General features: G+C 38.4%; 1 protein-coding gene across 10 annotated transcripts in view, besides 1 other annotated feature; it reads left to right on the plus strand.

Annotated features, from left to right (window-relative positions):
- Window positions 1–21,315, plus strand: part of DTHD1 (death domain containing 1) — a 65,896-nt gene that overhangs the window by 36,273 nt on the left and 8,308 nt on the right. For 8 of the 10 annotated variants that reach the window (NR_160267.1, XM_011513693.3, NM_001170700.3 and 5 more), the window contains one exon: window positions 21,224–21,281. The exons of 1 other annotated variant lie outside the window; for it this stretch is intronic. Coding sequence is in view for 7 of the 9 variants with exons in the window: in XM_011513693.3 (XP_011511995.1) it covers window positions 21,224–21,281 (58 nt within the window). In the remaining 2 variants the exon portion in view is untranslated. Of the gene's footprint in view, window positions 1–1,531; window positions 1,709–16,495; window positions 16,615–21,223; window positions 21,282–21,315 lie in introns of all 10 variants that reach the window. One more of the 10 variants, NR_165630.1, reaches the window with a different exon arrangement.
- Window positions 14,813–14,942: an enhancer, noted in NCBI's record as "active region_21408". NCBI's record gives its function as "activates an Ori minimal core promoter by ATAC-STARR-seq in GM12878 lymphoblastoid cells {active_cell/tissue: GM12878}" and the evidence as "EXISTENCE:reporter gene assay evidence [ECO:0000049][PMID:35858748]".

Raw genomic sequence — 21,315 nt, forward strand, 5'->3', positions numbered from 1 at the left:
GGTGGAAATTCAGACAGTGGAAATGAAGAAAAAAGGCAAGTTGGGGGAGAGAATATAATGCATTTGACCGGGGTGGTAAGCATAGCTTAGCAGGAATTCACAAGTTGTGTAATAACCATTGTAATAATGTCTAATATGCCAAAGGCCTTTCAAATACTTAACATGCATTGTATCACTAAACCCTCACAGAAATCCTATGATACATAATTGTTCTTATTTTATGGGAAACTGAGGCACAGAAATTTTAGGCAATTTGCCCAGGTTCTCATGGCTAAGTAAATGGCAGAGCTAAAATTCAGACCCAAGAAATCTGCTTCCTGTGTGTTGAATGGCTATTATGCTGTCACTTTGTTAGCACATAAAGCTAGGATTATTAGTCAAAGATACAAGATGGATTTTAGGGCATCCAGGTACACCTTTGATGTTGTATGATGTCTGTACTATGCTTTAGTACAGAGATAATATTAGAAATATTTAACAAATGATATGACCTGGACACCAACCAGTGAACTTGAAAGCAGCCCTCAGTACAGAGGAACAGTCTCCTGGCGACATTAACTTTACTTGCTGTTTTGGGGGAGATCCCGTGGTCCATGGGAAGCATGCATAAGTAGAGGAATTTATTAAGCCATTGATACTGAAAATGAGGCTTTGATGACAGTATAGCCAGCCAATCTGGTGTACATCTATCAGTTTTGCTTCTGTGCATTTTCTTTTTCTTTTCTTTTTTTTTTTTTTTTTTTTGAGACGGAGTCTCGCTCTGTCGCCCAGGCTGGAGTGCAGTGGCGCGATCTCGGCTCACTGCAAGCTCCGCCTCCTGGGTTGACGCCATTCTCCTGCCTCAGCCTCCCGAGTAGCTGGGACTACAGGCGCCCGCCACCACGCCCAGCTAATTTTTTGTATTTTTAGTAGAGACGGGGTTTCACCGTGTTAGCCAGGATGGTCTCAATCTCCTGACCTCGTGATCCGCCCGCCTCGGCCTCCCGAAGTGGTGGGATTACAGGCGTGAGCCACTATGCCTGGCCTCTTCTGTGCATTTTCATTTCCACCATAAGACTTTGCACCATACGGCCGTTACTTACGCATGCGGCAATTTTCCCTGAGATAGTCCCATAGCTGCTTCTTTATCATTCAGGGCTCAGCTCAGATGTCACTTGTTATTCTTATTCCCTTATCTTCTAATCTGAGGTCACTTTTTTAACTTGTTACCCTTTCTCGATTTACTTCCTAACACTCATCATTGATATTTTTAGATTTATTTGTTCATGTATTTTCTATTTTCCTTTGCTTCTTTAAAAAGCAAACTCCATGAATGAAGGACCCTGTCTATTCTATCCAGGTTCCTTCTTCTGTGATTAGAACAGTGCCTGGCACATAGTAGGCACCCTAAATATCTATGACTTGGTGAATAAGGGGAGGTCTATAGCTGTCTCCAGATTCTAAAAGTTTAAGAACTATTGACTTGAAGGAATACTCAAATTCTCTCTGTTCCGTAGTTTAGAGCCTGATTCTACAAACTCTTAACTGACAGGCTAAGGCATCGATGTGGATCAGCATGAAGATGTGGAGTGGAGAGGGGTACCTAAGGGCTGCTCTCCAGGCAGCTCAGCTGGCACATTGCTTCCAGAAAGCCTCACGTTGCTTTGCTGCCATAAGAGGATGAAAGGGAGACAAGCCAGTGGTGGTTGGAATTCTCTGGCAAGAGGCGGTAAGGGCCTTACTGAGATGATGGCAGACCATGCAAAGAAAGGCCGTTATGTCAGAGACGACAGACATGAAGTCCAAAAATGTGATAGGAATTCAGCTTTCACTTATTAGTGTTTCCTCTGTTGCCTGACTTTATAAAAGTAGCCAAATTAGTCAAGCCAAATTAGCCAACATAGATAATTTAGGGGTTTGTATAGATTTTCCTCAGTAAAAGTCTGTGTTTACGATTGTCCAGTACTTTTGCGTCAGCTTCTTCTCTGTTTTGCTTGTAACACACCATTCCTTACCTATGTGCCTGAGTAATTCTTACTGAACCTCTTTCACATCGGTGCTGAAGTGCAGCCTTGCCAAGGAAGCCTTCCCTCACTCCTCCTTTGTACCAGGTTAAGTGTTCCTGGTATATGGAGCTACGGCATTTTGTACTTTCCTTATCACTGTAGTTACCATATTTCATGACATCCACTTGCTTGTTTCCTTCCCTTGTTGCTGTAATGGCTTTTCAGGGAGTCTTTTTTTCTGAAATATTTTTTTTTCTAATCACCTCTCCTTGTGAAATTTTATTACCACGGATATACTGTATGTCTATGTACCATATATTTATCTGTGTTTTATACATCTGAAAGAGTAAGCCTTTTTGTGTCTCAGCCAAGAACGAATTTTCTCTCCCCAAGGGTGACATTACCAAAATTGAGAATGCATGCAACGAACTGCGCAGGCACAGACACTGTCCAGCTCAACTCTGTATTGCCAGTGCGGACACATAGTACATGCTTGATAAATATTTGTGACTAACTAGATGAACAAGATAATCTCTGCAAACCTTACAGTTACTCAACCTTGAAATTGATAATCCTGAAACTATATTGGCATGTTTAAAAATAGTACATTTAAACTTCTGCTGTCTTTCATAGATGAATCTACTGCCAATAGGCCATCTGTGCTTTCTTTTTATTCCAGATGGGTTCGTATAGGGCTTTCCAGATTCACTCTTTGAGCCCTTTCTTGTGCCCAAAGTCTTCAGAAATAAGTTTGTCAGGTTGAAAAAGAATCTGTGGCTGTGGGAACTTTTTTCTTTTCAAACTAGTATAACTAAATGGGAATTGAAACTATGACATTTAGTTTTGCAAGATGAGACTTATTTCATCAGAATTTAAAAAATTCACCTCAACTAAGCAGTATTAGAATGTGCTATTTTTCAGGAAATGGAAGTAGCCTAATATAGCAGTAGCTTGGCATTAATGAACATGACACTATGTGGATATTTATACATGTAGCATAAAATAGGTGAAGGTATTTGTCAAAATTAAAAGTGCTTCACAGAGAACAAACAGTAAATATTTACATATATGTATCTAGGCATAGAACCACACACATAATTATAATGTGTGATGTTAATATACTGTGTCTGATTCATAAAGATGAGAAGACATATCACTTTTTACTTCATACTTGTGAGGATCTCTGCGTCTCTTATTCTTCAGCCTCTGTAGTTCATTCATTCATATATTAATTAATTCAACAAACAGTGTATCCCAAAGGCTCAACGTATAGTGGTGTCCTGGTATGTAGGGTCTCATTTTTCCCTTTCTTCTTTATAGCATGTTTTCAACTCATAGGCAGAGTTATCCCTTAAAGCAGGAGTCCCCAGTCTCTGGGCCATGAAATGGTAGCAGTTCGTGGTCTGTTAGGAACCAGGAGGTGAACGTTGGGCAAGTGAGCAATGCTTCATCTGTATTTACAGCCACTCTGCATTGCTTGCATTACTGCCTGAGCTCTGCTTCCTATCAGATCAGTGGCGGCATTTGATCCTTGTAGGAGTGCAAACCCTATTGTGAAATTCACCTGCCAGGGATCTAGGTTGTGTGCTTCTTACAAGAATCTAATGCCTGATAATCTGTCACTGTCTCCCATCACCCCCAGCTGGGAACTTCTAGTTGCAGGAAAACAAGCTCAAGGCTCCCGCTGATTCTACATTATGGTATATAATTATTTCATTATATATTACAATATAATAATAATAGAAATAAAGAGCACAATAAATTTAACTTGCCTGAATCATCCTGAAACCATCCCTCCAACATGGAAAAATGGTCTTCTACGAAACTGGTTCCTGGTGGCAAAATAGTTGGGGACTACTGCCTTAAAGCATTAGTCAAATCATCTCATGCCTCTGCCCCAAACCCTTCAGTGGCTCCCAGCTTCCATCAGAATAAAGGCTCTGTGTGAACTTGGCCCTCACTGACTCCAAGGCATTCTCTGCTCTACTCGCCTCCTCACTTATTCAACCACAGTGACCCTCTTGAGTTTTTGGAATATGCCACACCTGCTTCTGCTTTAGGTCTTTGTGTTAGTGATTCCCCTTGCTGGAATGTTCTTCCATCAGATATCTGCATGTCTGTTACCCTTACCTCCTTCAGTTCTTTGCTGAAACTTCACCTTCTCTCTGTGGTTTACCCTGACTCTAACATTGCAATCTACTCTTACCCTGCAACCTGACATTCCTAATCCTCTTTAATCTGCCCTATTTTTTCCCTCTAAGTCATTTCTCCGTTTTTACATGTGTTTCTTCATTTGTACATTTCTTGCAGAAAAACCCTCTCTTCCATAACTAGAAAGTAAGCTCTGTGAAGACGGGGAACATTTTTTGTTCACTGCCAAATCACAAGTACCTAGAATGGTGTCAGGCATAAGTTAGATGCTCAATAAACATGAGTGAATGGGTATATATAAATAGAACTTGCATTTTATGGACCAAAAATGTGAGGAGGACAGTGAGAAGTGCCAAGGAAGAAAATAAATTAGCATTAGAAGATGGACAGAATTGGTGGTGTGAGTTGGTAGGTGGGATAGCTAGGGAAGACCTCACTGTGGAGGGGACTACCGAGCTGAGGAGCAACCGGAGACCAGAACCTTCCTGTATGGCCAGGAGAGCATCCAAGTGGGAGACGCAGCAAGTTCCAAGACTCCGAGACGGGCACGCATTTCAAGTCAAGGACTCGAAGGAAGGCTGTGATGGTCAGTGCGCATGTGAGGGCCACAGAAAGATGATGAGGTTTGTAAGATAGTAAGCGTCCTGGTGATACTTCATATTCTATATAATCTTCTGAAAATGATCCCACAAACAATATATTTGAAAATATGTGGCTGAAAAGAATAATGATTCACCACTAAATCTTTCTGAAGTTGTGCCTCAGCCTTTCTCCTTTCACAAAATGTTCAAGTAAATTCAGTTCACACTGCACATAATTGTATTTTGGCAGAAACAAGGCAAGTTTCAAAAAACTCTCAAAGGTTTTTTAGATGGAAGGGAGTGGAGAGAATATTTTGTGCATGTGTGCGTGCGTCTGAAGTCACGCCAGATAGGTGACTATATGCCATTTGCTTATTTGTGCTAACTTGGGTTGTGACTGCTTTTGACTCCTTCCTCCTACTTAGAGGTTTTGTTTTGAAGGAAAGAAGGGCTCCAGATCTGACTGCTGTCACCTATTCGAGGCTGGAGTTTCCCAGTAAAACCTAACCCACACATTTACGTAAGCCATCTGTTGACCCAAGTTTTGCTTAGCCTGAACTTCCTGGATTATTATTTTTTTAAACTGAACTCCTGACATGTGATTTCTAGTAAATAATGATACTGCTTCAACACTTTCTTTCTCACCACATTAAATAACTTGCTGTGTCAAAGGGAGGAAGCAGGCAGATGGCAGTGCAAGAATCAGTTCGTCAGAATCGCCACTTTCACCACTTTGGATTTCATTACCATCTCACTGCTCTGCTAGGGATAATGTTGTTCCTATATTATTTTTTCCACCAATATGAAATACCAAAGCAATTTTGACTAGATAAATGAGATGATTCTGAACCATTAAAAAATGTTTACATCCAAAAGCATTTTAATTCTACTCAGACTTCTCAGTTGCAGTAATTTTACAAAATTATATTAGGGTTGAAGGATCAAATGGAACTTATTATGTTATTGCTAGGTATTTTAAAAAGCAGATTGAAAGAGCACATTAGAAGAAATTCCTATAAGAAAAATCAGGATTTTGTTTTGTTTTGCTTTGTTCTTGCTGTGGTTTTTGAGGGAATAGTGCCCACATTGTGATTGTTAAGTTTTCCATAACTTAGTGTCATGCTTTCTATACTAGAGTTAATTCCAGTAACATGTTTGGTGCATCATGTCCCTTCCCCTATCAATTACAGAAGAAAGCCACTAGGTTCTTGGTAAGTAGAAATATTATGTTAATTTTTTAACCTCTAAAAGTTTCCAAAATCTTCTCACTCTTTCCAATGAGAAGGATGGATGGAGAAGGGAGAACTCTGGCACTCCATGCATCTCCCTTACATGTTATCCTCATGTCTGCAGTTCCACTTTCCTACAGGCAACCAGAATGACCTTCAAAGCCACAATTTTGACCATGTCACTAAGAGGAACATGAGGGGAAAATGAACAAAGCTGGTTTAGTCAGAAACAGGATCCTGTGTTCTTTTTTGGAAAGTACTTTGACAACCAGTTTAATGAGAAGAGATTATTTCCCTTCTCCTCCCCCCCATTCCTTTCTCTTGTTCCCTTTCCCTTTTCTTTTTCCTTTCCCCTCCACTCTCCTCCCCTTATCTCTTCCTCTGCACCTTCTTTTTCCTGTCCCTTCTCCCCTTTCTCCTTCTCTGGCCCCTCTCAACGCCTCCCTCCTCCTTCCTCCTTCAACTCTTGGCTTTAAAAGATAAGGTTTTCTCTGTTTAGAGGGCAGTATAACTAAACAGGAATTGGGCACTGTATCGTTATAGGGCTTTTGATTTTTCTTTTACAAAGGAAGCACAGATATTCCTGCCTATCTAAATAAATTTGATAATTAAAATTTCATTGATGTGTTTGCACTTATTCTCTTAAAACTGTAACATTTAATAAGTAAAAAGTTATGCTCATTAACTCAAACAGATTTTAGTTTATGAACTTCAACTGTTTTTGTTTTTATTTTTTCTTCTGTAGATGTATTATATCAGTCAACACGTTAATTTAGCAACCACAAAATCCCTAATATATACAAGATATTCTGTAAGGCCTAAAAGTGATAATAATAATAGTAGAAGCCAAAATTCTAGCTTTCAAGGAGATTACAGTCCAGTTTAGGAAATAAAGTATAAAACTTTAAAAGTTATAAAACAAAGCAAGAGATAAATAATAATTGAATACAACAATACAGCAATAGCAAAAGGCAGGAACTGATTGTTAATTGCAAATGAATAGTAAGATGTTAAATGCTAGGGCATTTCAGAGAAGGGGGTGAACGCTGTGGACTGAGGTGACTTGCGGGTGCTTCAGGGAGCAAAATGATTGCAGAGAATGTTTAGGGTCTGGAGAGGAAGAGAGAAAGGGGCAATGAGTTTCACACAAGAGAGATGGCATGAGTAGAAACTTTGAAGTGGTCAAGCACAAGACGTGTTCCGAGAAAGGATGATGAATGCACCTGTTTCTTCAGGGGAAGATTTGGAAATGTCATGTTGGAAATAAGCTGGGGAAAGATTATGGAGGGCCTTTAATTCCTTACTTAGATTAACTAAATGACTCTGTAGTTGTGGTAGCAAGCTTTCTGTCAAAATTCACCAAAAAACTGTGATTGATTTCATGACATAGAGAGCACATGCAAACCAGAGACCCTTAGTTTTTGAGTAAACAACAAAATCTCTCATCTACTGATACTCTTGAAACTGGTATGGCCATAATTGAGGATGGAGAAATAGGTATCTGGTTTGTTTATAATTAAGTTGATCTTTTATCTTTTGAGTAACAGCTAAAGCCATTGGAAAGCCATTGGAAAATTTTAACTAGGAGAGTGATATGATCAAGTTTTGTTAGCAACATTACTACGACAGCCTATAAGGATAAACTAGAAATGGATGAGCTTAGCAATAGTAAAATAAAGAGCTAATGAAATAGTCCACAGAAGACAGTGTGATAGCCTATGTAAGATCATGACAGTAAAGATAGCAAGAAAAGAACAGAGTTAGAGAGAGATTCAGGATTTGAGATCAACAGGTCTTGGTGATAGAGTGAATGTGTGTGGGACTGGGTGGCAGGAGAATATTGGCAGATAGAGGAAGTCGTGAAGGGGATTTCCAAGGTTGCTCTCAGTACACTGGTTTGAGCTACTGTCCTGTGATATAATACAGTGTTTGTTGATTTTACTTTGGAAGTGTTGTTTAAACTTGCATTTCATCTTCAGTCCCTCTAATATTGCCTTAACACACAGATGATAGCAACATTTTCCTTGGAGGCCTATCACTAGTTCCCTTATCTGCTTTAGGCTGCCTTCCTCACAATTGACAGCTTGATTTTTCTCAAAAACAAATATGATTTCATCACTCTTCCAAAACTTCTCATTGGATGTCTATTGATTAAAAGTCCAAGCCAGTTACCGTGGCATATAGGGCCCATTGCAAACTCCCACAGCTCATCGTCATAACCTTTTTATATTACATTTCCCCAACTAACATATTTTGCTCCAGTTCTACTTAAAGCCTCACTTCTCTTCAAGACTCTTCCCACGGGCTGCCATTGTGACAGCAATGACTCCACACTTAACCCTATTATCCCCTCTTTAGGAGCAGTCTTTAAGTTTTCCAGGAAGTATTAGACACTGCACTGTATCTGTAACTAAAGCACTTTGAATATATATATAACATATATATTATATATATAAACATATGGTCCATTATAATTTTTATTTATATAAAAATCATGGTAATGATAATAATGATGAATACCTACTAAATTATTCCCTGCTAGTAACTTGACAAAGCATTTACACATTAACTTATTTATTGAAAAAAAAAAAAACCTTAAATAAAAGTTTCTTCATTTAAGAAACTGAAGCATATAGAGGTTTTCCCCAAGGGGAAATGGCAAAACTACTGTTTGAAACCAAGTTTGTCTGATTTCAATGGCAACACTCCTAACATTATACTCTACTGTCTGCTTTTGAGACTGAGTTCCTCAGGGTTGAGAGCACTGCTCATTCAATTTTGTAATCCCTTCCCCGAGGATGCATTCAATAATGTTTTGCTGAACTCTTTAATGAATAAATGAAAGCATGCTGGGGAAATTGAAAAAGCAATTGAAGGTGGAGTTTTAATAGCTGACAGAAGCCTTACCTGTTTTCTTCCCATCTAGCAGTTGCATTTAGCAGAAGCCTTTCATGACTTTAAAGGAATGACTAATAGGATTTCACACACTGTGGCAAGACCTGGGAGGGTGACATTTTGTGTGTGGCTGTCCAGGCCTTTCCCAGAAACATTCAGATTACTCTTTCTATTGGAAAAACTATTTCTAGCTATGATCCAAAAAGCCAAACCAAAACAAGGATTTGTTTTTCTTTTTTTTTTTTTTTCTTTCTTCAGACGGAGTCTCGCTCTGTCACCCAGACCGGAGTGCAGTGGCATGATCTCATCTCACTGCAACCTCTGCCTACTGGGTTCAAGCAATTCTCCTGTCTCAGCCTCCCAAGTAGCTAGGATTACAGGTGCCTGCCACCTCGCCTGACTAATTTTTGTGTTTTTAGTAGAGACAGGGTTTCACCATATTGGTCAGACTGGTCTCGAACTCCTGACCTCAGGTGATCCACCTGCCTTGGCCTCCCAAAATGCGGGGATTACAGGTGTGAGCCACCGCGCCTGGCCCAGGATTTTTTTAAATCTGCTATAATAACCTAGAAAGAATTATGCTAAGAGTTAAATAGGCACAGGAATAAATAGGGACAGGATTAAAGTGGAGTGACAAAACCTGTGGGTATTATAATCTAAAAGTGGAACAATAAAGAGAGGAGGTTAATATTAATGCAAGTTCTGGCAATGCTGTATATCTTTCTTTGATTTGTTGAGCTGCTTTAAGAAGTAATAGCGTCTTCCACGTAGCTGCATTTATGGGTCAAGGATATCTGCTCTTGACAAAATTACTTGGAATACTGAGCAAAGTCTTATGCATTTTAACGATTATTTAGATTTATGGAGCGCTTGCATGTTTGAAGTGCTTTATGTGCATTACGTCATTTAATCCTCATGGCAACCTCATGTGGTGCACCTACTTTGCCCATTTAGTAGGTAAAAAATGAAGATAGAGACATGCATTTAGAAATCAGATTTATCTATTCCAGACTGCTTTTGATAATTTTTCTTCACTGCTTCCATATATATTCCATTTATATTTTCTGAAATATCTAGATCTTTGCCCACTTTATATCTGTACACATTCCTGGATGCCCCTTCCTTCTATCTGTCTCCACTCCTTAGATTCTTTGGAGTTATTTGAATTCATCCATCTGGTTACCAGGGGCCTAAAGCTGTCTTCTTTTGTCCAATCAAGGACTGAGAAATTTATCAATCCCCCCTCCCCTTGAAAAAACTATAAAGAGATTGATGTTATGAAAGAGTGATTTTCTAAGAAGCAAGCAACTGAAAAAATAATGAAGAAGCAAAATATAAAGCTGGCTGCATAAAAAAATGTGCATGGGTTTGAAGCAAAGATCTGAGCTAAACAAAGCTACAGAACTACACTGCTTCCATGATTGGTAGTAGCCTGATTTTGTTTCCAAATCGAATTTCTGTATTTACCTCCAAGTGAGACCACTATTGGTCAGCACTTCTTGCTCTAAACTCTGTTCTTATTTTGTTCCACAGCAATCTTACTTCTCTGTGGATTTGTGCTGATTTCCAGACCTCTCTATGTGGAGGTACTTCCTTTTATTTTGAGGGCCAAACGTTTCTGCCTAGGTTTTCAGGAAGTTCTACACTGTGTAATTATAAGAAAGTTCACGAAGACAACAGCAGATTATTGGTGGATGCTGGTACTACGATCTTTTAATGTACTTATTTAGAAAAAAAACCGTGTGTGTGTGTCCACGTGTGCATGCCTGTGGGCATGCACGTAAGCACGCGCAAATACTTAAATACACACAAAAACAGAGAAAATATACAATGAACCTACATGGACACACCTCCCATCACTTTCTGCCATACTTATTTTGTCTAGTACCCTGGTTTGTGGGTTTGTTTTGTTGGAGTATTTTAAAGCAAATCACAGGTGCAATATCATTTTATGTGTAAAGACTTCACAATGCTTCTCTAAGAGGTAAAAACTTTAAAAAAAGACACATGACCACATTACTATTGCTACACCCAATAAAATTAGTAATTACTACACTATATCAGCTACTGCCCAGCCCCTATTCCCTATTTTCCTACTGACTCAATATTTTTTTTCTTTTTGCAGTTGATTTGTTCAAAAACAATGTCCAATCAGGGCCTACACATCACATGTGGGTTCATTTGATGAATTACTGATGTAGGCCCTGTCATTTGTAGACATTATCTCAGTCAGTTAGAGACTTCAGTAAGAAAGTTTAGTTTATTGGCTCAGCTTGTAGGACTTCACAGGAGTAGAGCCCGCATGAGGACCCAGACTACAAGGTTGTTTTTCTTTTATGCTTTACCAGCTTCCTTCTATTCCTTGGGCAAGCCAGATCCTTGTTTTCCTTACGTCCACCACTTTTACCACTATGTCATACCGCCTGTCATTTCCTTTGTACCTTTAGAGGGTTTGGCAAATCTAGATCTTTCAAAGAGCCAGTTAGGAGGGAGGGTAGTACCCTTTGCCGAAACTAAGCTTTGGAATAGAACTTCTGTAGCCTTGGATAGTGGTTTTTCTCTTTACCTAAAATTTTCAGCTCCTGAGTCAGAAGCTGGCTTCCTCAGCCATCTTGATTTTGAATACTTTGCCACTTCTGAATAGTTTAGTGTTTTTCTGTTCTATCCATATGGTGACATCAGCTCTTAGTTCATTGTCAGAGCAGAGATGACAGCCGTTCCTTGAGCAGGACAGCTCCAGTTTTTTCCAGCTTAAGTTATGAGTTCATGCTCCTTGCATTTTGTTTATGACTTATCATTCATACCCCCTAAAATGTTATCTGTACAGTTTTGAAAGACAAAAATACTTCTCATATAAGTTTATACTGAATGATATGACTCACAGCAAATAAAAGGTATGCTTGCTTATACTGCTGTTTCCCAAATTTTGGAATTGCAGGTGCTGTTTTAGTACAATATACACACCAGTTTTAAATAAAAAGGAATCGAAACAGTGAAACAATGTTCTCTTTTTAAACTTTTCTCTAATCTGAGTAGAACTCAGGTTGTTGTTAACATGTTTTCACATCTCCTTAACAATTGCAAAGCTTTCTTTTTGACAGAGAATAGCTCTTGGGTTCAGAGATCTTGGCTGGCAACCGAATTTAATAATATTGTTATGTTTTAATTGTATTTTTAAGGTTTTCTAGTATTTATATAGATGAAATTGTTTTCCCACTTATGGTTTAAATAGAAGTGTTTCTTTTAAAACGTATTTATGTAGGCAACAAATATGTTTTAAAACTATATTAAGTAATAACTGGTACTATTTTGAGCACTTATTACATATGATACCCTAATTTCAGATACATGATATAACTCAATGCATCTTTCTAATGGCATTGTATATGCTTACTTTTAAAAGGAGGAGACTGAGGCACAAGAGATTACTTTGCTTAAGGGTACGAGTTTAATGAATATGTTAGGAGTTGAGCTCTTTACCTCCATCTAATACTACTGTCAAGTCAGTAAAATTGATATATGTAAATAGTAAGCGTAGTGCCAGAGGTACTGAAGTGACTGAGTGGAAAGTTCCACATTACAACCTTCATGTTACATACAAATGTTAATTTAAACAGGATCTGGATTCTTACTGATGTCAGTTTAAATGTCATATTTGTCATTTAGCATGTATGTTTTAGTCAAATAATTTTATCTTTCTAAATTTGTTTCCTTGTCTGTATAATAGGCATAATAACCTCACAAGGATGGGTGTGTATGTTTATGCTGGACTATATGCCATATTATACTTCAAGGTTCTATAACATACTTCAAGTTTTTAGAGTAATTCCTGGTACATGGCAATTATAGTAGCTGGTATTATTATCTGGAGGAAGTATTATTTATTGTTAGAGCTTCAGACAGACCTCAGTTTCATGACTAGTTTTGCCATATCCTAGCCATATTACCTTGGAGAAGTTATATCTGTGAAATGGGGATAATAACACCCCAGACCATTGTTATGGGTTTGCAATGATATAGTTACAAGTACATCCTCACTCAATACTTACATAAGCTTTTATTTGATTTGTGATTATGTTGAACACAAAACTACAGCACGAAGCTTTTATAGTAGCATTAATTTTTGTACCAGATTACTTTCTTGATCAATATAATGTCTAGCTTGTTTATAATGTAAAATCATTAAGAATTGTATGAGTCATACATTGTAAAATTCAGCATACCCTTTACTGTTATGCAATAAATGAGCTCACATTAAGCAAAACTTGAGGTCATACATCATAAAATTCAGCATAACCTTTACTATTATTATTATTTATCCTAGAGCACTTATACATGAAGACATTCTAATAGGTGATTGTTGTGATGTCTGTGTAGGATTTTTCTGATAAATAAATCTTTTATTTTGTTACTAAAATACACACAGGTAAAAGTGATAAGATTATAATAAAGTAAATAACCCTTTACTATATGCAATAAATGAGCTCAAGTTTTGCTTAACTATTATTGCATAATAGTAAAGGGTATGCTGAATTTTATAATGTATGACTCATACAATTCTTAATGATTTTACATTATAAACAAGTTATGATTTTACATTACAAACTAAGTAAGCATTGCCATTTGCTTATGGCGACGCTTACTTAGTTGAAGTGGTCTATATGCAAAATAAATACCAAGTACAGTAAGCAGGAAAAGTCAGGACTTATAATACCCTAAATGATTCTGGTAAAAATCCATGCTAAAGATACACAGAAAAATACTAATTATATATACTTTCTTAGTCTATTGTTAATCCTATCACTTTTACTTGTATGTCTTTTAGTAAGAAAAGACTTATTTCCAGAAAATCCTACAGTAATATGTGGGAATGGGAGGAGTGTGAGGTTAGGGCAGCTGGATGAAAGAGCTAATTGCCACAGATATCACAATAATAACCTATTAGAATGTCTTCATGCATAAGTGCTCTAGGGTAAATAATCAAATTAATAAAAACAGCGTGTCATTTTCTGTCATTGACTGTATAAAATTGATGCTTAGCTACAAGGCTATGTGGCATCCATGCTAAATGGTGCTAAAAGTATCAGAAAGTTCTTACCGTGTTACTTTACACAAAAATTTGCTCTGCACTAGAGTCCCCAAGAACTGGGAAGCAGTAGAAATTACAGAGGACAAACTCGACAACTTCTTATGACAAATGGCTATAGTATTGTTTCGGTTGCCCTTGAAATTATTGACCGCACAAGGAACAATTAAAAATACGGCATTCTGGCCGGGCGCAGTAGCTCATGCCTGTAACCTAAGCACTTTGGGAGGCCAAGATGGGCTGATCACCTGAGGTCAGGAGTTCAAGGCTGAGGCAGGAGAATCACTTGAACCCGGGAGGCAGAGGTTGCAGTGAGTCGAGATCACGTCATTGCACTCCAGCCTTGGCTACAAACGCAAGACACTGTCTCAAAAAATAAAATAAAATAAAATAAAATAAAATAAAATAAAATAAAATAAAATAAAATAAAATAAAATAAAATAATAATATTGCTCTAGTATTCAAAGGTAGCATTTTGTTTTACTGTTTTGCCCTTCCAAATATGTGTAAAATGGAGAGAAGGATTTACAATTTTCCAGACTTTCCCCTTTCTAACTTTCACCTTAGGTTTTACTGGGTATTGTGAGGAGCCCCATTATGTTTGCTGTGCTTCCTATGATGACCTGTGTTCATTCTTTGCGGCTGGGAAGGCACTATGATGATGGGATATCACCAAACAAATCAGCCCTAAAGCTGGTCCACAATGGCAATTGTCTTTCCGCTGCATTGTCTTTCATACTTGTTTTCATGCACATGTTTCTACAGTGACATCAGCTTAGTCAGTGCCAGTTACCACCCCAAAGCTCCCTGAAAGCACATTACAATGAGGGTGAGTCCCGGCCAGGCTGAAGCATTGAGCTTCTTTCCAGTCCCAAGCACTGTCAGAGACTAGTGTGGTTAGCTCTCAATCAGGAGACCTGATCACACTTGATCCTTGATATTGCATCTATCACAGAGGAAAACAGTAAGAGCTCCCCATCTTCCACACAATTTTTTTAATTTTCTTTTTTTTTAATGAAAGGCAGATGAGGTAACCAAGGAGAAAGCAAAGTTTATATAACTCAGATTTGAGCTCAGGCTCAATTCTGAGAGTTCCACACATGCCTCATAAGTGTGCAGAGAAGGAACCAGTCTAGAAAGTTATTTGCATAAAAGCTGAGGTGTTTCTGGGGTAAGAAATGAACCTCAGTTTCAGAAATAACTGTGTATATGAGATATGACTTGACAGAATTCTGTATGCAGGGGAGTTAGGATGGTTTTACCTAAAAATGCATGCACATATTTTATAAATTTAGCATAAAAATTCATTAAATATATATGAATGTATTAAATATTGCATGTTAAGTATATCATATGTAATATAAATATTACACATTATTATATAGCATAATTATATATAGTACATGTTACATATATGTGAAATATACAAATATATATCATATCATACACTGAGAGCTCTAGTCATTGGGGCCAGCAAGTGTTTAGAGTTGAGCACCGAAGTTCCACTCCTTAGATGCATGATTATGTCTGAAGGAAAAAAGTTTTAATTAAAAAAAAGAAGGCCTATTTTATTTAGTTCTGTGGCATATCAGGGCACAGTCAATATTACTTTAATGTCATGTGACATGAGGGGTAGGAAGCCACTTCCTTTATCCTATCATGTTTTACCACACAGCTCACACACCGGGAGAGCTTAGGGTGGCCACTAACAGACAATTGCTTCGCTTGGAAGGGAAGCAGGAGAGACCAAGAGCTCCATATAAAGCAGGTGCAGTGGGATCACTGCTGGTGGGATCCAGCAGAGCAGCAGTAGGGCAGCAGCTGTGCGAACCTGTGGAAACCACAGATGTCATCTGGACCTATATGGCACCATGAGAGGAAAACTAAAGGACAGGTAGAAACCATCATGGCATGCTACGTGGTGATAGATGCATGGGGAGAAGCTGCCGTGCCCACAGAAGGAGTGTGGAGGGCTGCATGGTCCAGCTGAGCACTGGGGGGCACCTAGTGGAACAGTGTGGATGCCAAGAGAGTAAAGCCCATGAAACTGCCAGAAATACTTGAGAAAACTTTGCCAGAAACTGAAATTTCTGCATGAGATGATGGGCCCCAGAGCTAGGTCATCTGCGTGATTCCTGTGAGGTAATTTATGAAATTACTTAATAGAAATCAATATTTTTATTACTACATCCCTATAGCTTTAGGTAAGGTGAAGCAATCTGAAGTTTACTTTTGTCCTGATGTGACGTTAGAAATCTTCATCACTTTTTGGATAAAGATGTTTCTTTCATTCTTCCATGTACTCATTGGGATATATTTATAGGGGTGCTAGTTGATAATTCATGTAGGGTTTGATACTTGATTGGCTTTTTCTATGTGCACTCAGCCTCAGCATCAGAATCACCCAGTTGCTTATTCCAAATGTGGCCTTATCTGAGACCAGTTGAATCCAAGTGTGAGCTTCCCTTTTTTGCCCCTTTCTCAAGGTTCATTGTCAGGAACACTCAGGTTTGAGAACCACTGCCTACTTTTATTTTTTTTGGTTTTTTTTTTTTTTTTTTCTTTCAGAGTCTCACTCTGTCACCCAGGCTGGAGTGCAGTGGCACGATCTCAGCTCACTGCAACCTTGGCCTCCCGGGATCAAGCGATTCTCTTGCCTTCAGACTCCTGAGTAGCTGGGACTACAGGTGTGCACCACCACACCTGGCTAATCTTTGCATTTTTAGTAGAGACAGGGTTTCACCATCTTGGCCAGGCTGATGTCAAACTCGTGACCTCAGGTGATCCACCTGCCTCGGCCTCCCAAAGTGCTGGGATTATAGGCATGAGCCACCATGCTCAGCACACTGCTTAATTTTCTCAGAAAATAGAAAACTAAACGCCTCGTGAGAGAGTGGTAGACAGGGTGTAAGGCATGTGTTTTTCAAAAAGCAGCGGAGATCTGAAATGTGTTCTGCAGGAAATGGTGGAAGTAATCTTCATGGATACATAAAAACCTTGCTGTGCAGATTGTGTGAACAGCTAAAACTGCTGACCTTAAATGTATGATGATAACAATCCTTGTGATTGTCCATGGAGGGCCATTCTGGCTACTAAGTATTTATTAAAGGTATGATGTGCTTAACATGTGGCAAATGTAAGTACTGATATAAAAGAAGATGCAGAAGAGGGCACAATAAATCAGTGAATGTCTAATTGGGGAGGGAAAACAACATATATGAATGGCATTAACAACAATATAATATTAAGTTGTTAGATAAATTGTGTGATAGTATAGTGCATAAATTCCCAAATAAGAAACTAATTTATAAAAGAGGTAGAATTTGACCAGTTCCTTGAAAATATGGCAGGATTTGAAGGGGCGTATCATTTAAATCGAGAGACGATATCATCATGTGAATACAAATTTTTGTTAAGTTTTTTGAGGGGGGGTGCTCTCATTCTGTCATGAAGGCTGGAGTGCAGTGGCATGATTTCAGCTAAATGCAACCTCTGCCTCCCAGGCTCAGGTGATCCTCCTCCCTCAGCCTCCCAAGTAGCTGAGACCACAGGAGTAAGCCACTACACCTGGCTATTTTTTTGTATTTTTTTTGTAGAGATGAGGTCTTGCTGTGTTGCCCAGGCTGATCTCAAACTCCTAAGCTAAAGCCATCCTCCTGCCTCAGCCTCCTAAGGTGCTGGGATTATAAGCATGAGCTATTGCACCCAACCAATAAAATATTTTTTACCACTTTTTGTGTACAACACCTTACCTACTATGATGTCTAACATGTACAGGAATGAGATATACTTTCCTGGCCCTCAAAAACGTTAAGTCTATTGAGTAAAGGGAAGCCTGATAATGGCTGGATCTTGGAGCACTGAAAAGCCCCAAGGAGGGTTAAAAACTTTTGGAGGTTTCTTGGGAAATAACACTGGGTAATTGAGTAGATGTAACCAAGTCCAGTTTGTTGAGTTGCACACAAAAGATCAAACTTTCACACATATGAGTTCAAGTAAAAAATGGTTTAGTTAGCTTTAAGAATTCAATACAGGGCTATAATTAGGGAGCATGGAAAGAGTAGTCAGTAATCAAAGGAATCCTAATGACAGTGGCTATAAAACTCAAGACACTCGTACCTCTTTCTGGTGTAGGTGCCTGTGTTTGGTTTCAATTTTTTAAATGACTTCTAAATAGATAAGGCTTGCATTGTGCTTAACAGCATAAATATGACACATCTGTACATATCTGAATTGCTTATATTTTTATACTGATGCCCTCAAGAGGCTTATAATTCAGGGAAAACAGCCACATAAGCCCCACTATGCCCATTTAAATGTGGATTGTGCAGCAAAGAAACAGTTTATAGAGGGCTGGAGAGTCACCTTTAAATTTGTCCAGCATTTCTCCAGAGCAGTGACATGTTGCAAGTGGCATATAAGATATCATAGGTGGCAAATTAAAATATGCAACATTAACATAAAACAGAGTACTTGAGAGGAATAAGAAATATTACTTTCACAAATAGAACCTAAGAAAATGTAATCGAATGGCACCTTTTGTTGTTGTTGTTTTGAAGGGAAAGCAGTTTTGCTAATCAAATGCTAGCACTTGGGGGAATGGCCAAGCTAATGCCTTCAAATGACCATTTCAACATTTTGGGCAGAGTGAAGGAGTTTAAGAAGGAAAAGGTGTGGAAAGCACGCAGGAGTCATGCAGGAGAGTGCAGGTCTGAGTGTCTTGTTGTAATGGCTGTCTTGAGTAATCACCCATTTGGAGGTCCAGTATGTGTGATCCTGACTTCAGCCTGGTAGTGGTGGGCTGTTTGTAACTCCCCCTAATAGGGAGGATTTCACAGCTTGGTCTCTCTGCCTGGTTTGTTTCAAGATTGGCCCCTGGAATTTCTAAGCAAGCATGTAATTAGATAAGCAAGCATGGTTCACAGAAGTGCCTGGTGGCAAAGGGAGAAACAAACAGTTTCAAAGTATATTTCAAGGCTAAAAGCAAGAAAAGAAAAATAAAAGTTTTACAATGCATTTTGAGGTTGGGATACTCAGTTACAGAGTTAGACTTGGAAAACTGTGGAATAGAACCTCCAAATAAAAACTAAATAAGAACCAGAGAAGGGCCTTTGAAAGCATCTTTTGATTGCAAGGAGGCAAGAGAGGAAAGTGGGGGGAAATGAGAGCTGTTTCTGCTAAGGAAGGCATCCAGTGAGCCACACAGGGATGCTAGGAACCTGTGGGAGGGGAGACCGCACGAGGCCAAATGTTGGCTGACTGTTCTGCTTGTAGCTGACCCTGAGCACCAGGGAGGTTCAAAAGGTAGTGTGCAAAGCGAAAAGAGGGCACAGACCAAAATCATGCAAAAAAGGCTTGGGGGCATGGAGAGGAGGAAAATGAAAGTGAAGGGAAAAGAAGGCAACGTAGAAAATCCTTTATGAAGGGGCCACATGGGAGACCAACACAGTGCCTGGAAGTCTAAAAAGAGCCTGAGCTACCCCAATTCACTGCTTCTATGGTTGTGCATCAGGTGAAGTACTTGAATTGCAATTTCATGTGCATGAAAAAAAATTTAAACACTGGAACCATTTCTGTGTGCATCAAAATGCGATGAGACATCTGTGAACAAAGAGTTATGGAGGGGAAATACTACTGATATAAAGAAAAGTCTCAATATGTATCTCTTGTCCAAGGCCATGTGCCCTTTGATGGGAATGATAGAATCTGCTGCATTATTTAAATTAGTATTTCTTTCTCAATATTTTCAGGGGTTCAAACACATAGTTGATGCCTTGGAAATTATATGCATTTATTTTGCAGTGCTACAGTATAATAGCATACTTCAACTCATGCTATGTTTCTTAATTTTTTCCCATCAAAACTTCTTAATGGAAGTTTTATATGCTTCCATGTTTATGTAATATTTGTGACAAGGATGCCTATAAAATATGATATTCAGATTCAACTAACTTGTATTAGAGTGCTCAGTGGGAAGCAGTATGCTACTCATTAACATGTAACACTTACATCATCCTTGTATCACTGCTGTGAAATAAGCTTTAAAAAACGTTTTGACATACAGTAATTATAGATTCACAAGAAGTTGCAAAATATAGTACAGAGAAGTTCAATGTATTCTTTACCCAGATTTCCTTAGTGGTTGCTTTTTAGATAACTATGGCAAGATATCAAAATCAGGAAGTTGACATTGATACAATGTATATGTATAGTTCTCTGGCATTTTATCAGGTGTAGATTTATGCAACTACCACATTCAAGATATAGAACTATTCTATTACCACAAAGATCCCTTTTGTGCTCCCTCACCCCTTCTCCCTTCATCAGTAACCCTTGGCAATCACTAATCTGTTCTACATCTTTATAATCTTGTAATTTCAAGAATGTGATATAATCAGAATACATAACCTTTTGAGACTAGAATATTTCTCTTAGCATCATGCTCTGAGGCCCTTGCAAATTGTCCCATGTATCAATGTTTTGTTTTATTACTTTAGTTCCTGTAGTGTGGATATTCTACAGTTTGTTCAACTATTTTTCCACGAAAGAACATTTTAGTTGTTTCCAGTTTTTGGCTAATTCAAATAAAGATGCTATGAACATTTGTGTGCAAGGCTTTGTGATGTAGGCATCCATAAAGACATTTCAGGGCTGAGGCTGAGCATTTAAATAAATTCTCCAAAGTGCAATGCTACTCAACCACTGGCTAGGGATCTGAACCCAGATAATTTTATTTTATCTCATATGCTGTCTCCACTATCTCATATTACCTGAGAAAAAACTGTTCTGCAGACTGTGTAGAAAGCTAGTGAAATAAATATATTTACTTCTTGATAAAAGGTTGATTTTCGAATAATATCTGCACTCTGATTTGATTGTTTTTAACCTGTTAGGTGCCAGGTTCTGTGCTGTGTTGAGGCAAAGTGCCTGCCCCACAAGGGATTTTACAAAATACCATCTTTACAGCATGCTGGTAGCTTGCTCTACGCTAGTTGGTTTAACAGTTTTAAATTTTAGTTGGAAAAATGTTCATTTAGAGTTAATCTGAGTGCTATAATAATATTTAAATGGGTATTCTTAAATTTAAATGTGCTGAAATATTTGGGTTAGTATACTTGGCTTTATCTTAGGAAAACAATTGCTGAGCATGCATGCACAAATACAGTATTTAATTTTGCAAGGTATGCAATTCAGTACTTCTTCGAAACAGAGATGATGTTCAGATGAATTTTCGTTGTAGCTTATTCACAAATTAATTACTTCTTCTGTTTATTTTGTGTTCCTTTCCCCCAATAGCATAAGAAATTAATCAACCGTCCACAGAGTACCAAAAGAGTTTCTAAGGATCCTGTAGGTGAGGAATATTTGCTTTGTCATCATTATAGTGC

Source organism: Homo sapiens, chromosome 4, assembly GCF_000001405.40.
Source record: "Homo sapiens chromosome 4, GRCh38.p14 Primary Assembly".
NCBI lineage: Eukaryota > Metazoa > Chordata > Mammalia > Primates > Hominidae > Homo > Homo sapiens.